The sequence below is a fragment of the Homo sapiens genome, chromosome 6, assembly GCF_000001405.40.
Source record: "Homo sapiens chromosome 6, GRCh38.p14 Primary Assembly".
NCBI classification, from domain to species: domain Eukaryota; kingdom Metazoa; phylum Chordata; class Mammalia; order Primates; family Hominidae; genus Homo; species Homo sapiens.
In genome coordinates this window covers 41881866-41898249 of record NC_000006.12, presented here as the reverse complement: position 1 = coordinate 41898249, position 16384 = coordinate 41881866, and the positions used below count along the sequence as shown (strand labels likewise).

The following is a 16384-nucleotide window of genomic DNA, read 5'->3' as shown; positions in this document are numbered from 1 at the left end:
TGGGCAACATGGCGAAACCCTGTCTCTACTAAAATACAAAAAATTAGCTGGGCGTTAGTGGCGTGTGCCTGTGGTGCCAGCTACTCAGGAGGCTGAGGCAGGAGAATTGCTTGAACCTGGGAGGCAGAGGTTGCAGTGAGCTGAGATCACGCCACTCCACTCCAGCCTGGGTAACAGAGTGAGACTCCGTCTCCAAAAATAAAAATAAAGGCTTGAGTTTTATCATAACCGACAATGCTATCAGGCTCTACTTTATTTTTAAGAACATGTCTGCCAAATATCCAGTGAACAACTAGTCTGTTAGCTGTTCTTTCAAATAAAAACGGTGTTCCATGAAGAAAGCTATTAATTCAGCTCCAAACTCAAATTGCAAGAGTGCTTTTCCTCAAGACAAATGTTGTACTTAAAAGTGCTTGATGCATACATACATGCATTTAATCACATAAACGTGTACTTAAATAAAACAATTTTTATTGTCTTCATCAAAGACCTCTTAAATGAAACAGGTGGTTTTTTTTTTTTTTTTTTTTGAGACAGTGTCGCACTCTGTTGCCTAGGCTGGAGTGCAGTGGTGCGATCTCGGCTCACTGAAACCTCTGCCTCCCAGGTTCAAGTGATTCTCCTGCCTCAGCTTCCCGAGTAGCTGGGATTACAGGTGCGTGCCACCACGCCCAGCTAATTTCTGTATTTTTAGTAGAGAGAGGGGTTTCACCATGTTGGCCAGGCTGGTCTCGAATTCCTGACCTCAAGTGATCCACCTGCCTTGGCCTCCCAAAGTGTTGGGATTACAGGTGTGAGCCACTGCACCCATCCGGCCTGAAACAGGTGTTTTTTTACTGTAGCAGTGAAGAATACCTTGACCTCTAGCACAACTTGGTGCAGTTGCCTTGATTTGTGCTAAGGCAGCAGTTTTACCCATTGCTACTTTTGTATCATTGTGCAAATATCATCACAGTGACAATGCAGATATGTCTCAGTATTATTAGGAAAATCGTTTTGATCTCAGGCACCCCACTATCCCCCCAGCCCAAAGGGTCTCAGAGATCCCTAGGCCTTTCCAGGCGACACTTTTTTTTTTTTTTTTTTTTTTTTGAGATGGAGTCTCACTCCGTTGCCAGGCTGGAGTGCTGTGGCACGATCTCAGCTCACTGCAACCTCCAACTCCCTGGTTCAAGCAATTCTCCTGCCTCAGCCTCCTGAGTAGCTGGGATTACAGGCACACGCCACCACGTCCGGATAATTTTTGTATTTTTAGTAGAGACGGAGTTTCACCATGTTGGCCAGGCTGGTCTTGATCTCCTGACCTCATGATCCACCTGCCTTGGCCTCCCAAAGTGCTGGGATTACAGGCGTGAGCCACCGTGCCCGGCCTCCAGGCCACATTTTTGAGAACACTGATCTAATACATGCTCACATCACTGAGAAACTTTTCCTCCTGTATTGCTATTCTGGGAGCATCCCTTCCATTGGAAGTTTTAAGTGGCTCCCAAATTCTTCACTCAGCAAAAGCACCTTGTTATGGAACTAACATTGAATAAGTAACAATCTTTCTTCTCCAAGAATTTTCTTGGGGATTGTTGAGTAAGGGAATAAGACATATAATTAGAGTTATAATGTTAAGAATTCCTTAAAAAGAATTATGTTAACTGTGATGGACGACAAAGGGAGAGCTAAATTCTGAATCTAACTCTGAGGCCTTGAACCTCATGATAAATCCCGACCAAACCAAATTGAAACACTCCACTTCCTCTCCTTCTATCAAACCTCTTTTAAAAGTGCAAGTTGTTAATAAATTGCCTACACAGCGCTTGGTCCAGGCATTGTAGTTTCCCCCTTCCTATTGTGTGTGGTGTTCTTTTTTTTTTTTTTGTGCTTACCTAGTTCTCCTGTTTACAGGTGTGTAACTTGAGCCACTACTATAGCTAATGTCTGTTTCTTTTACTTGTCCTTATATTTAAATGTAAGTCTTTATCTGCCTTAGCTATGTGTTGGGTGTTGAAATTGTTGATCTTATTTTGGGAGACTCCCATCCCCTCCCCCCACTACCACCCCGCAAGTAGTTTCAAGACAGTGCACCTAGGAGACTGCTTAACCTAAGCCTTTTGTAGCTTAGGTGCTGTTCTGTTTCCCAATGGACCACTACCAAGTCAGTCTGGTTTATTTCCCAAGCCTTACAATCTGCTGAACTTCTTCAGTTCCGGCAGCGATCCTCTAACTTGTGGGGGATTTCCATAAAACAGCTGAATCTCTCTTGGGTCATCTGTGGCAAAAGCCAGACACGTGCTCACCCGCCTGGGAGCCAATAGTAACTTTTGCAAACGCTGCCTCCGGAAACCCCACGGTTTGAGGGCTGCTGCTTTAGGAACAACACAGAAATAACGTCTTTTAACAGAATAAAACAAAACATACGGACGGGATAGTGAGAAAGCCTTTGTCCTTCGCAGTGGGGAGAGGTGTTAAAGGTGAACCGAAAAGAGTATGGGAAACTCATGTAAAATACCTTTACAGTTCCCCGGGAAGAAGGGGGCGGAGATGGGCTCGGGAGCGTCTCTGGCCCTTTAAGGAGGAGGGACAGACATAAGAGTCTGTACCTTTAAGAGTCTCTTTGTCTGGAAACCTTCTTATTTACCCTCCTGTGCTTCAACCAAACTTCGACCAGCTATTCACAACGTCCCCCTACGCCGCCGCCCCTTACGCCAGGCTCAAAGCGGCCGCGCGTTTGTGGCTGACCCTAAACTTTGCGCCTGCGGCGCGAACCCTCGGAACGGGTGCCGGTGCCGGGGTCGCGGCCCAGCGCTGCGCCGTTGGCGCAATGCAGGGCCTGAGGGGCGGGGCTCCAGCGGGCGGGCCAATAGACGGGCAGGGGGCGGGGCCGTGTTCGGTTGTCTCGCGCCCTGGTGACAGCTCGCGCGTGCTGATGATGGCGGTAAATAGAGGGGGCCGGGGGAGGGGACGGAGGAGGTGGGGAGGCAGCAAAGTGGGTAGCTCCAGGGGGTAGGGGGAACGGGGGCCGGGGAGGCCGCGACGGCCAGGGAGCCCATTCTAAGACTCGGAGGCGGGGATAGGAGTCTCCGGCTCACTAGCCCTCCCCTTTAAAGAAGCAAAATCCTCACACACCGGGTGAGGGGCGACAAAGGCAGCGCGCGCCTCGCGGGCGGGAGGAGCGGCGGCAGGGGGCGGGACCGCGGCGCCGGCGGGCTGGGGGCGCCCGGGGCGGGGGCGGCGGGAGGCGAGAGCCGGGAGTCGGGGCGCGCGGGCGCCTTATTTTGGCGGGGTGGGCGACGGCTGGGTTGGGGCAAAAGCGTTGAAGGGAGAGGGAAAGGAAGGCTTGGAGGCGATGAGGGGAACCGGGTTGAGAATGAGATGAGGAGGATTAAGGGGAGAAAGGGTTAGAAGCCAGGGAGAGGAGGAGTGAGAAAAAGCCAGCCAAGGAGATAGGAAGGAGGCAAAAGCCAGGGTGGGCGTTAAGGAAGCCGGGCAGGGAATGAGGTTAGGGCTGGGGAAAGGGATCCTGGGGTTAGGTGTAAGAGCAGGGGTTTGAAGGGGAAATCTTCGTAGCGGGTGGTGTTGGGGTGAGGGGTACCGGGGTAAGTGTTGGAAGTGGAAGACAAGGAGGGGCAGAGCTGGGGTAATAGTTGGGAGTAGGAAAGAGAGAGTGATTAAGAGCCAGACGTGACGAGGGTGTGAACTAGTGCGGAGCGAGATGAGCTGAAGGACTGGGACCAACGGTGTGGTGGGAACTGCTGGCGAGGTTCTGAGAAAGGAATGGGTTAGTGGGTGGGCGATGGATGTAAATTCTGTAAAGTGAGGGAGGGCAAATGAGACCTGGACTGGAACCAGGTGGAGTCAGGAATAAGAGTGTGGTGGAAGGGCGAAAGGAAACAGATAAGAGATGGGTGTCTGTAGGACGATTCTGGGACCAGAAGAGCTGAAAGGAGACTAGAGTTAGGGTGTAAGAAGTGATGGCCATCTGGGACAAGGATAACTGGGTAATTACGTTAATTGAAGAGGTTCAGCAAGATCCAAGGTGAAAACAGTGAGGTAAAGAGACAGGGCTAAAAGCAAATGGTGAGAGGAGCAGGAAGAGATGGGCCCCAGAATTTAAAGGATGAGATGGGGAGTAAGGGAAGAGAGGGGGCTAAGAGAAGCTGGGGGAGTCCTGATGGATGTAGAACTGGGGTAGACTGCAGGGGGGTGGGAATCGAATGTGCGTGTTATGGGGAGTTGCTCCAGAAGGTCTGCAAGGGTCAGGGCAGAAATGCTGTAGTGAAAGATCAAGTGTAAGAGAGCCTTTGGTGCAGAAGACGAGGAACCATGGTGAGTGAAAGGGGACCTAGAGACAGGGGTAAAGACTAAAAAGTAAGGGCAGAGGTGGGGGGTGCAGGAAAGGAATTCTTTGTTGAGGAGAGAACTGTGTGTTGAAACTGTGAATCCTTTTGTCCCTAAAAGTAGGAAATTCCAGAAACCTCTTTCTCTCAAGAAATCTTGAATCTGCTTCCACCCTTCATTGCTTTTGATTTGACTTTCCTGTCCACTTTGAAGAAATGAGACTCATTTTGATTTGATTTTTTTCTTGTATGGATGATAAAGTATAAACTCTGGGTGTTGAAAACCTCTGCATTTCACTAGTGTTGTGATAATTCGGGGAAAGGGTGTGCTTATTTAGGGTGTACTCGTGTGATGTGATAGTTTTAGTGTTGTAGGAGTGTTGCACCTGACAAGTGCTGGGCTGTGTTTTATGGACAGCATTTTCATTTTCAATGGAGAACGCACTGTTGTTGGGATAGAGAAAGATGAGAATCTGTTTCTTTTGATTAATCAACCAGATTTCTGCTTATTGTTTTCAGTTGCTGGAGAATGTTAAGAAATCATTTCAGAGAAAGGCAGATAACCAACCAAGGAAGTTTACTGGGGGAGAGATTAAATCAGAGCTGAGGGCTTTGAGTTCCTGAGCTGCCTTTAGCTTTGTGCGGGACGTTTCATGCTGTAGTTGGTAACTCACCCATTTAACAAAATGGCATAAAGAAAGGGAGAATTGTAGAGTAGTGGAGGATTTTAGAGTAGCAGACTTATTTTTTAGGGCAAATAAATTTATGAGTAATTTTGATGGAAAAACATCTCTGTAAGATAATACTGCAGCAAGCTTGGTCTTTGGACAGCTCCACTGCCTTTCGTGTTTTATGGTTATGAATAAAGAAGGCCAGATTAATACTAATTTTCTAGAAGCTTTTGATTTTTAAGACACCTTTAGAAATGAAAAGGAAGATAAGAAATTTGGGGCAAAATTTGGTTATTCTTACTTAGAATTTTGTTTTAATGATTTTTTTCAGAAGCTTTTACATTTAGCTAAGAATATGAATGAATATTTGTTTTGCATTTGATGGTGCCAAAGGATAGCATATGATTTACTTAGGGAAAAATTCAAACAATTGTTGAGAATCTTCTTTGGGGTTATTTCATTGTGTACACTCAGATGCACAAAGATACTTTTTTTTTCAAAGTTGGGTAAATTTTGGATTGACACTTTTGCTGGTGTTTGTATAAATAACAAAGATTAGGTTTATGACTTTTGTAGTAGTTAACAAAGATTAGATTTTGATTTGTGGATTTGAGCAACAATGGTTAATGTATAATTTAGAAAACTCTTTCTGCATTCAGCTACTGTGTTAGTGGCATAGTATTTAGTTTATGGTTTGTTTCCTGGATTGTATTAAGCAAGTGTTCAAGGTTACTAGATGTATTTAGCAATTTAACAGAGGATCTTGGTAAAAATTACTATTTTTGCCACTACATTTTAAAAGGATTAGTTTGATAATGTTGACTTTCAAGATGAAGAATAACTTTGATATGAGGCACTTGTTTCAGTGAGATGTGTGTGCATATTCTTTTTATAGATGTGTTTGGGCTGGCGTTAGTAGTAGGACGTACTCTGTATGGTATTGCCATGTTTATAATGTAATTGTAATTGTTTAATGCTCAATATCTTTATATAAGTGATTATAGACTTATTTGATATTGGTAAAGAAGGAAATATAAACTGTAAGATCAGCCAAGGGAAAGAGTGAGTCCTGCCTTTTGTTTCTGTATGCAACGGCCTTAGTGTGCTAAACCACTGAGTCTCATTGTCAATGGTTATTTCTCAGTCGCTATTTCTAAAACTGAAAATGGATTTTTAAAAATTGAGATAATACTATTTATCAATAAGGACTCCAATGATAAATTTAAGCTTTATTTTCATTTGTTCATCAAGTACAGTTCTACCCAATTTAACTTTATTTTGGTTATAATCTTATTTGCTAAGCAAAAGCTTTTAAGTTTATATTTTTAGATTTATTAGGCTGTACATAATTAAATGTTTTCCTGGTTAACCGTAGATTCTTTGGATGGGAAGAGACCTTGAAAGGACCTCTAGTTTATCCTGCAACTCCAGTCAATATCCCACTTAAATCATTCCAGGTAGATAAAAATTTATCCTATTTTTTAAAACAAATCTTCAGCAGTAATGTGGTAACCTCTGTAGATAATCTTTGCAAGCATTTAATAATTTCTCTATCAGGAGAGTCTGCCTTCTCTCCAACCAGCACATGTTTAATGCTATATATGTGTTTGTTTCCTCTTGCCCCATTCTCAATTTTTGAGTAAAAAATACCTGTGTACTTTTGTATTTATAAGACCTTAGTTCTTCATAAACTTAATAATAGTAGCCAACACACATATAATGCTTTTGTGCCAGATACTTCTGTAAGCACTGCAAATTGTAACTTGTTTACTCCTCAATGGCAATCCTGTGAGGTAGGTACTATTACTATTCTCATTTTACAGGTGATGAAATAGAGGGTCCTTGAGATTAAATGATTTGCCCAAGGTTATACTCAGACATTCCTACAACTATTTATTTGGTAATTATCTTATATTACAAATAATACTATGTTTTGTAACCCAGTGATACATTTAATCTTTATTTTAGTTCAAAAGCTAGAATTCTACCAAGTGGTGGGATGGGATTCCAGCCTTTGCATTTTGCCAGCAGAGTCTGTGCTCTGGTTTTGCCTCTGGCTTGCCTGTTGTGAAGTTCTCCCTCACCAAGTTCTTCTTCAGATTCAACACTTAACAAGTCTTGTTTGCCAATCTTTAAAAATTATCCCTGTAGTCCTGTTACTAACCTTTTATCCAGTTCCTTTCTAGATGAGGAACCTGGGGTAAACACCGTAACGATTATGTATAATGTAAAGATTACATCAAGGTTGTTGCATGCTTCTATTTTTTCATTCCAAAATTGTATTTACAAAACAAACCCAAACCAGTAAAAAATGCCTTATTGCATTGCAGATTCCCCATCCACCTTTTTAGCTAGAAAACTGCCCTGGACTTGTTATATACTATGACACATTTATAGTTGAAAGATTATTGCTGTTTGAAGAAAAATGGATTTTTTCTGATTTCAGATTTCAGTGCAAATATCCATAAGCAAAATCTGTTTATACCCTCACTAATTTTTTAGTATTTTCTCTTTATGTGTGCCTAAGTGATATACCAATTTCCCCATATATTATTATTATGATTATTATGATTATTATTGAGACAGAATCTTGCTCTTTTGCCCAGGCGAATGCAGTGGCGCCACGTCAGCTCACTGCAGCCTGGACCTCTCTGGGACTACAGATGTGTGCCATCACACCTGGTTAATTTTTGTATTTTTTGTAGAGACAAGGTTTCACCATGTTGCCCAGGCTTGTCTCGAACTCCTGGGCTCAAAAAATCTGCCCACCTTAACCTCCCGAAGTGCTGGTATTACAGATGTGAGCCACCGCGCCTGGCCTCCTAATACTTTAATTGGTTAAGTAAATTGATCCACTCGTTTTTTTTTTTTTGAGTTGGAGTACTGCTCTGTAGCTTAGGCTGGAGTGCAGTGGCATGATCTTGGCTCACTACAACCTCCGCCTCCCAGGTTCAAGCGATTCTCCTGCCTCAGCCTCCCTAGTAGCTGGGATTACAGGCACCCACCACCACATCCAGCCAAGGTTTTGTATTTTTAGTAGAGACGGGATTTCACCTTGTTGGCCAGGCTGGTCTCGAACTCCTGACCTCAAGTGATCTCCAAAGTGCTAGGATTACAGGCGTGAGCCACCGTGCCCAGCTGATCCACTCATTTAAAAAAAATAATTAACAATTACTGAGTGTTTACTAGGTGTCCAGCATTAACTGAGTATGTGAATTGTTTGAAATTTGAAACAGCCCTATGAGAGAACTTCTGTTGTTAATACTCTATTTTTTGGTGACTCTTGATTTTATTGCAGTTTTTTAAACATATGGAAAAGTTGCAAAAATGATACAAGAAATTCTGTATACCCTTACTCAGTTTCACCAATTTTTTTCATTTTGCCCCATTTGCTTTATCATTTTCTCTCACTTGAGTATTTTTAAACAAGTCAAATTGAAGAAAATGCATATGAAGACCTTAATTTTAAAGAAGAAAAGGGGAGAATGTTTTGAGTATTTCAAAAAGTTTAGTTTGTGTTTAATTTTAGTCAAATACTTGAAGCAAAGGAATCTCAAGATTGGGTTTAGAGTGGATTTTGTGTTTTTATGGTCTTGTCTCCTGTACATTCTGAGATTCTTTCACTTGTGAATGATGGGTTTGTAGGTCTCTCCCATTAGAAAAAACTGTGTCACAGTGTACCCATGTGTTGAGAACCTCCCTAGCATGTGGCATGGTGTGCTCATGCATGGATGTGTCCTCAGGACATGCTAGCTATGGAGGTATGGGTGATTATTGTGAGAAACAGGAGCCATGGGGCCTTTCAAAACCACAACCAAGAAATAGTTAGGTGAAATACATATTTTAAAGACTCTTATGTAGCTTCAAGGAGCTGGAAAAGATCAAAGTACAAAATGTATTGCTTTAAGAATATTGGTTGGCTGCGTGCGGTGGCTCATACCTGTAATCCTAGCACATTGGGAGGCTGAGGCAGGTGGATCCCTTGGTGCCAGGAGTTTGAGACCAGCCTGGCCAACATGGTAAAACCCCACCTCTACTAAAAATACAAAAATTAGCCACACGTGGTGGCACGTGCCGGTAATCCCAGCTACTCTGGAGACTGAGGCAGGAAAATTGCTTGAACCTGGGAGACAGAGGTTGCAGTGAGCCGAGATCAAGCCACTGCACTCCAGCCTCGTCAACAGAGCGAGACTCTGTCTCAAAAATAAAAAAAAAAAAAATTGATTGGGATTAATACAAATAAGTTTGCCATATTATGAGGGGGACGAATGGAAATATCTTAATATTATATTACCTTCCCCCCAAATAAACCTAAATTTTGGGAGTCTTTTCTGTTGTTGTGACATAAGGAAATTAAACTGACTCCCTTCCCATCATTTAATCTTCATTAAAATGATGGCCTGTCCATTTGATAAACTCGTGACCTGAAGGAGGTCCTCTCAGTTTAACTGGAAGGAATATTAACTGTATTCTGACAAATGTAAAATACGGCACTTGTGGCTGGGTGCGGTGGCTCACACCTGTAATCCCAGCCCTTTGGGAGGCTGAGGCGGGTGGATCACTTGAGGTCAGGAGTTCGAGATCAGCCTGACTAGCATGGAGAAACCCCGTCTCTACTAAAAATACAAAATTAGACAGGTGTGGTGGCGCATGCCTGTAATCCCAGCTACTCGGGAGGCTGAAGCTGGAGAATCTCTTGAATCCGGGAGGCAGAGGTTGCAGTGAGCTGAGATCGTGCTGTTGTACTCCAGCCTGGGCAACAAGAGTGAAACTCTGTCTCAAAACAAAACAAACAAACAAAAAAACAGCACTTGTGGGCTTCTTTTCCTTTTTTCCCCACTCTTTAAGCAATTATCAAAGCTGTGAAATATAGCTCCTTGTTAAAGCTGATTGTAGGCCAGGCACAGTGGCTCACACCTGTTAATCCCAGCACTTTGGGAGGCCGAGGCAGGTGGATCACTTGAGGCCAGGAGTTCGAGACCAGGCTAGCCAACATAGTGAAACCCTGTCTCTGCTAAAAATACAAAAATTAGCTGGGCATGATGGTGCATGCCCGTAATCCCAGCTACTTGGGTGGTTGAGGAACAAGATTTGCTTGAACCTGGGAGGCGGAGGTTGCAGTGAGCTGAGATTGTGCCACTCCATTCCAGCCTGGATGACAGAGTGACACTGCATCTCAAAAAAAAAAAAAAAAAAAAAAAAGCTGATTGTGATAATTAAAAACACTCCCCTTTCATAAGGATGAAAAAATTACAAATTGTTTGGAAAGCATTCTTTCTAGTCATGTGTTATTGTTTCGGAGACATGGGCTATTTTTAAAGACTATAATACTGTCCCTTTTCCATTCACATGTTAATAGAAGTCTGGAAAGTAAGGCATTCTCCTGAAATTTTCAGGGTTTTTTATTATATGTCAAATTGTAAACAGCATTCTGTGACAAGTATTTTCTCTCTGTCTTTTATTGAGCTAATTAGTGATTTACACTCTAGTAGCATCTCTTCCAGCTTTACTGTGTGAAAATGTCTGCTACTCCGTGCCTTCTATGCAGCCAGGGCTGGCAAATGATTGGGGGCAGATGTTGGTTAGCACATCAGAAGGATCAGGGATAAAATTTATTTTTCTTTTGTGGTTTTAAAGATATGTTTTAAAGGCTTTTGTCTATGTCTTTGCCCCACTCCATTATTCCCTACCCTCATTCAAATAGGAATGTTATGACCTCCGTAACCTAGAGCTACTGTTCTTGATTCAGTTTTGGATTGTTTTCTATCCTGTTCCCCACCCCCACTGAAACGTTGTGTTGTGGGATTTGGGGAGGATTAGCACGGCAGTCTGGCATAGTTTAGAGCCCAGGAAGCTGGTCTTCACTGCTCCCTCCCATCATCAGAATACAGAGCTTTCAGTCATTGCCTTTAGAACCCAGCAGTGCTTCTTTTGCTGGGCAAATTGTGTGAAAGATGGGAGGGCAGCACTGTTGCTAGTGAGTTAGGAGGATACTTTTGTATGATGCTTGTATCTATCCAAGGGAAGGATGGGCTCTACTGTTGTGTTAGCTTTTTCAAAATGCAGCAGAGAATGGCCAAAAGGTAATTTATAGCTTGGCTTTAGCATTTTGTCACATTGGTGTCCTGCTCTTTCCTGCCTCCTGCTCTTTCTTTCAGTCTCTGACATGGGAAAGAAGATGTGTAGGATATGTCATATGCTCACTTGGATGGACCATGTGGGTGCATTAAAATAGCAAGAACTTTGACTTTGAAATAAAGTCTTTAAGGATCAATTTGTTTTGTAGATATACATTGTAGTTGAAAATGAAAGGAAGAGTAGATAGGGGTTTACTGATTTATCAACTTTTTTTGAGATAGAGTCTCACTCTGTTGCCCAGGCTGGAGTGCAGTGGTGCGATCTTGACTCACTGCAACCTCTGTCTCCCAGGTTCAAGTGATTCTCCTGTCTCAGCCCCTAGAGTAGCTAGGACTACAGGCATGCACCACCACGCCCGACTAATTTTTTGTATTGTTAGGTGGAGATGGGGTTTCGCCATGTTGGCCAGGTTGGTCTCAAACTCCTGACCTCAGGTGATCTGCCCGCCTCGGCCTCCCAAAGTGTTGGGATTACAGGCGTGAGCCACCACGGCTGGCTTTGATTTATCAGTTTTGAGCCCAGACCTTTCTAGAATGCCAGGTAATTTATGGTACTTATTTTTGCAGTTATGGATATTAACTTATCAGGACAATAAGGTCAAAGTCCCTGTTAGAGCTAATTAGATTCTCCTTGACAAAAATTGGAGGTAGCAACAAAGAAAATCAAGTAAGAAAATGTATGAATTGCTCAATTCGGCCGTCATTGCTAATAGCTTAATGATCATAGACATCTAGCCCTTGACAGCGAATCAGCATTTATGAACAGAGGTCATCTCATTTATGTAAGCATTCATAGAGTATGTGGGACTATATTAATGTTATGTTTTTATAAACCAGAATGCCAAGAATATCCCTATAGATGGTCATTGCTAACATTTACATCTTTAACTCTCCTTTTTTATGTTCTAATACAACCACCTATATCAATTGGATGCTTATGGCTATACACTGATTGCATGCTTGTATCTAAAAGAGGTCAAAGGTCAGGTTAATAAACATTGCATATAAAAAAGTTAAATATGGTCAACTGATTAGAAGGGTCTTATAAGTAAAGATGAGAAAGCAAATACATCACCGTGGAATTGAATATACTCTTAAAAGAAATATTTTAGAAATGTGTGACATAACTTGAAGAGCTTATAACAATGCATTTCAAGTGAAAGGTAAGTGTGCTTTAATGAAGACGTCAGTCTCATCTGTGAGTGGCTTCATTGTCTGCTCCATGCTGAAAATCCCAAATTGGGCCCAGTGTGTAGTTTACCTTGTTATCCCAGCACATTGGGAGGCCAAGGTGGGAGACTCTCTCTTTTTTTTTCCTGAGACAGAGTCTCACTCTGTCCCCCAGGCTGGAGTGCAGTAGCATGATCTCGGCTCACTGCAGCATCCACCTCCCGGCTTCAAGCCATTCTGCCTCAGCCTCCTCAGTAGCTGGGACTACAGGTGCTTGCCACCATGTCTGGCTAATTTTTCTATTTTTAGTAGAGACAAGGTTTCGACATGTTGGCCAGGCTGATCTCGAACTCCTGACCTCAAGTGATCCACTTGAGCGGGAGGATTGCTTGAGCCCAGGAGTTCAAGGTTACAGTGAGGTATGATTGTGCGCTGACACTCAGTAATCTAAATCTGAGATACTGAAGTACTGCAATTTTAGAGCCTTATAGGCAGCTGTTGTCCTACTACAGGTTGCTATTATTTTCCTTTACCAGTATTATCATGTATACTAGTTAACATTTGGAATTTGTGGCCTTTCATTAGGAGACATCTAAAAAGGGGTGAACGGGTAATTTTTTTTGTTTGTTTGAAAATGTTATTCTCTGTGCCCAGGGAATATGGAATAGACATGTCACTCTGCACTGAATGCGTTAATCAGTTTTTGTTAGCAGCATGGCATAATGAGTATATTAACTACAACACCTACGTTGGCAGCCAGCAGTGTGCTTGTGAAATCTTTTAGAAAACAGAAATCTGGTGAGAAGTGTTCCTGAGCAGTTGAAGTATTGTTGGGTGCAGAGGGAGGGCGTTACATAGAACAAATAAAGTAGAAAAAATTTATCCTCCAAAAAGTAGTTGTTTCACCACTGAAAGCCATGAGACTTCAAGACGTTTTATCTGTGGATTGAGATGTGGCTGTCTAATTTATGTAGGACTTACAGAGTTCTTTTTGTATTTTGATTTTTCATTTAACTTTGTCATTTAAAGAACTTCAAGGTACATTTCCATTTGATGAAAAAAGTTATGTAAAACATTTATTTTAAGGATGGTTTCTCATTTTTTAGTATATATTATATGCTACTGTAAATTATTTTTCCCTTCCACTTCCAATTAAAACATATCTGACTTGAAAAAATATCTTCAGCAGAAATAAGAAAAGTTTCTATTTAAGCAGAGTTCTTGGCACTTAAGAGGTGTTCAATAAGTTTTTATGGAATAAATTAATGTATGCATGAATGAAAAATATTATTCTGAATTTGGACTTCCTACTCCCATAATTTGGGTTACAGTATAGCTTTGGTGTACAAAGGCCTTCTGTTCAGCCCTCATTCCCATGTCTATTTTCCTCCCCACCTCACAGGCACACTCTCTAATGTGTTTGATATGTCCTTGATTCTATGTGCATCTTTGTAAAATACTTACTGATTCTTTTGGTGTATGTATTTTTAATTAAAAAATTGCTCATTATACCACACTGTTGTAGAATTTGGCTATAGAATTCTCCTTGTAGAAATGCTGTAGATCTTACTCTGGTTTTTACTTTTTTCAGTGAGCACTATGTTTTAAGATCTATGTTATGGGCCTGGCGCGGTGGCTCACGCCTGTAATCCCAGCACTTTGGGAGGCCAAGGTGGGCAGATCACGAGGTCAGGAGTTCGAAACCATCCTGGCCAGCATGGTGAAACCCTGTCTCTACTAAAAATACAAAAAATTAGCTGGGTGTGGTGGTGCGCACCTGTGGTCCCAGCTATTCGGGAGGCTGAGGCAGGAGAATTGCTTGAACCCAGCAGGTGGAGGTTGCAATGAGCCAAGATTGTGCCACTGCACTCCAGTCTGAGTGACAGGGTGAGACTCCATCTAAAAAAAAAACAAAAAAAGATCTGTTCATGTGGATGTAGATTTAGCTAACTGCTTCGAGCTGCAGCATAGTATTCTGTGGTGTGCATCCATTCTCATAGTGATGGGCACCTAGGCTACCATAAACAATGATACCAGTAACAGTCTTGCACATGTCCATTATGGACATGTTTGAGAATTCTCAGGGACACAGACCCAGGAGTGGACATGTTTGAGAATTCTCAGGGGCACAGACCCAGGAGTGGCATTGCGGCATAAGTACTATGAGGCTGTTGAATGGTTGTATAAGCTTATACCCATAAGCATTGTGTTCCTATAACCGCCCCTCCCAACACTTGGTATTATCCACATTTCTAATTTTGGCCTTTTAGTAATGTCTCATTTTAATTTTTATTTTATTTATTTATTTATTTATTTATTTTGAGATGGAGTCTCGCTCTGTCGCTCAGGCTGGAATGCAGTGGCATGATCTTGGTTCCAGCTATTCTCCTGCCTCAGCCTCCCGTGTAGCTGGGATTACAGGCGTGTACCACCACACCTGGCTAATTTTAGTAGAGATGGGGTTTCACCATGTTGGCCAGGCTGGTTTCGAACTCCTGACCTCAAATGATCCACCTGCCTCGGCCTCCCAAAGTGCTGGGATTACAAGCGTGAGCCACTGTGCTTGGCATTTTTTTTTTTTTTTTTTTTTGAGACAGAGTCTCACTCTGTCTCCCAGGCTGGAGTGCAGTGGCACAATCTTGGCTCACTTCAACCTCCATCTCCTGGGTTCAAGCAATTCTCCTGCCTCAGCCTCCTGAGTAGCTGGGATTACAGGTGTGTGCCACCACACCTAGCTAATTTTTTTGTATTTTTAGTAGAGGCAGGATTTTGCCATGTTGGCTAGGCTGTTTAATTTTTATTTCTAGTTACCAGTGAGTTTAATCATTTCTTCATATACTAGTTAGCCATTTTCCTTTGCCTCTTCATATCCTTTGTTTCCTGTATTTTTCTTGTTGATTTATAGAACTCCTTAATATATATAATATTTCTTAAATCCCTGGTTGGTTTTGGACCATATAAATATCATCTTCTGGGATGTCATCTGTTAACTTTGCCTAGGTGTTTTTTGTTTTTTGTTTTTTGTTTTGAGACAGAATCTTGCTCTGTTGCCCAGGCTGGAGTACAGTGGTGCGATCTCAGCTTACCGCAACCTCTGCCTCCTGGGTTCAAGCAATTCTCCTGCATCAGCTTCCCGAGTAGCTGGGACTACAGACGCGTGCCACCATGCCTGGCTAATTTTTTGTATTTTTAGTAGAGACGAGGTTTCACCGTGTTAGCCAGGATGGCTTTGATCTCCTGACCTCATGATGTGCCCGCCTCGGCCTCCCAAAGTGCTGGGATTACAGGCGTGAGCCACTGCGCGTGGCTGCCTTGTTCTTTACCGAATGGAAATTCTTGATTTTGATGTAGTCACATCCATCATTTTTTAGCCTACTGTATTTGCCTTATTACTGCTTCTTGGACTTAGATCATCCAGATTGTCTCCCTAAATTTCTTTTAGCTTTATGGCTTTACATTTCCCCTTAAGTTTTTAATGTATATGGAGCAATCTTTGGATGTGGTATAGGTTGGATCCAGCCTTATTATTTTTTTATTTCCCAATACCATCCACTAAACTAGCTGAACCTTCCAGTTGATTTGTAGTAACACCCTTATTGTAAATCAAGTTTCTCACCTTTCTATTCTATCTCATTGGTGTATTTATCTCGAAGTTTCTTAAAGGGGGCACAGTTAGTAGAGTAGGTATGTTTAGCACTGCTGGGCCTGTCCACTCAATGTCAGTAGTGTTGCCCTGTCATTGTGACATCCATGATGGCCCATGCATTTCCAGACACACCCTAGATGAGATCCTGTACCATATCATGTTTATTACTGTTCCTTTCTAGTATTTCTTAAGATATGGCAGGATGGATTCCCTGTCTTTGCTTTTTTTTTTCAAAATTGATATAACTATCTGTGGATCTTTTTTTTAAATATTTAGATTTAGTTTATCTAGTTTCCTCCCTCCCCAAAATGTCCTGTTGTAATTTTGATTAAGATTGAGATTATAATTTGATTTAGATTAATTTACGAAGCTTTGGCATCTTTTTACAAAGTTAAGTCAGCATATCCATGAGTATGAAAGAATGAACATAGT

General features: G+C 42.2%; 1 protein-coding gene across 3 annotated transcripts in view, besides 5 other annotated features; it reads left to right on the top strand.

Moving 5' to 3' along the window:
- Positions 2478-2667: an enhancer, noted in NCBI's record as "active region_24529". NCBI's record gives its function as "activates an Ori minimal core promoter by ATAC-STARR-seq in GM12878 lymphoblastoid cells {active_cell/tissue: GM12878}" and the evidence as "EXISTENCE:reporter gene assay evidence [ECO:0000049][PMID:35858748]".
- Positions 2717-3009: a silencer, noted in NCBI's record as "fragment chr6:41862979-41863271 (GRCh37/hg19 assembly coordinates)". NCBI's record gives its function as "represses an EF-1alpha promoter that drives an FKBP-Casp9 reporter gene in an ReSE screen in K562 erythroleukemia cells {active_cell/tissue: K562}" and the evidence as "EXISTENCE:reporter gene assay evidence [ECO:0000049][PMID:32094911]".
- Positions 2717-3037: a biological region, named in NCBI's record as "ReSE screen-validated silencer GRCh37_chr6:41862979-41863271".
- Positions 2798-3037: a silencer, noted in NCBI's record as "silent region_17195". NCBI's record gives its function as "represses an Ori minimal core promoter by ATAC-STARR-seq in GM12878 lymphoblastoid cells {active_cell/tissue: GM12878}" and the evidence as "EXISTENCE:reporter gene assay evidence [ECO:0000049][PMID:35858748]".
- The window catches only part of USP49 (ubiquitin specific peptidase 49), a 105480-nt gene continuing 91970 nt past the window's right edge, over positions 2875-16384 (top strand). For 2 of the 3 annotated variants that reach the window (NM_001286554.2, NM_018561.5), the window contains exons 1-2: positions 2875-2926; positions 6375-6456. The gene's annotated coding sequence lies outside the window, so the exon portion shown is untranslated. Of the gene's footprint in view, positions 2927-3111; positions 3121-6374; positions 6457-16384 lie in introns of those variants that run through there. The other variant, NM_001384542.1, reaches the window with a different exon arrangement.
- Positions 3602-4116: an enhancer, noted in NCBI's record as "H3K27ac-H3K4me1 hESC enhancer chr6:41861872-41862386 (GRCh37/hg19 assembly coordinates)". NCBI's record gives its function as "activates a minimal SCP1, AML or CMV promoter by ChIP-STARR-seq in naive H9 embryonic stem cells {active_cell/tissue: H9 hESC(naive)}" and the evidence as "EXISTENCE:reporter gene assay evidence [ECO:0000049][PMID:30033119]".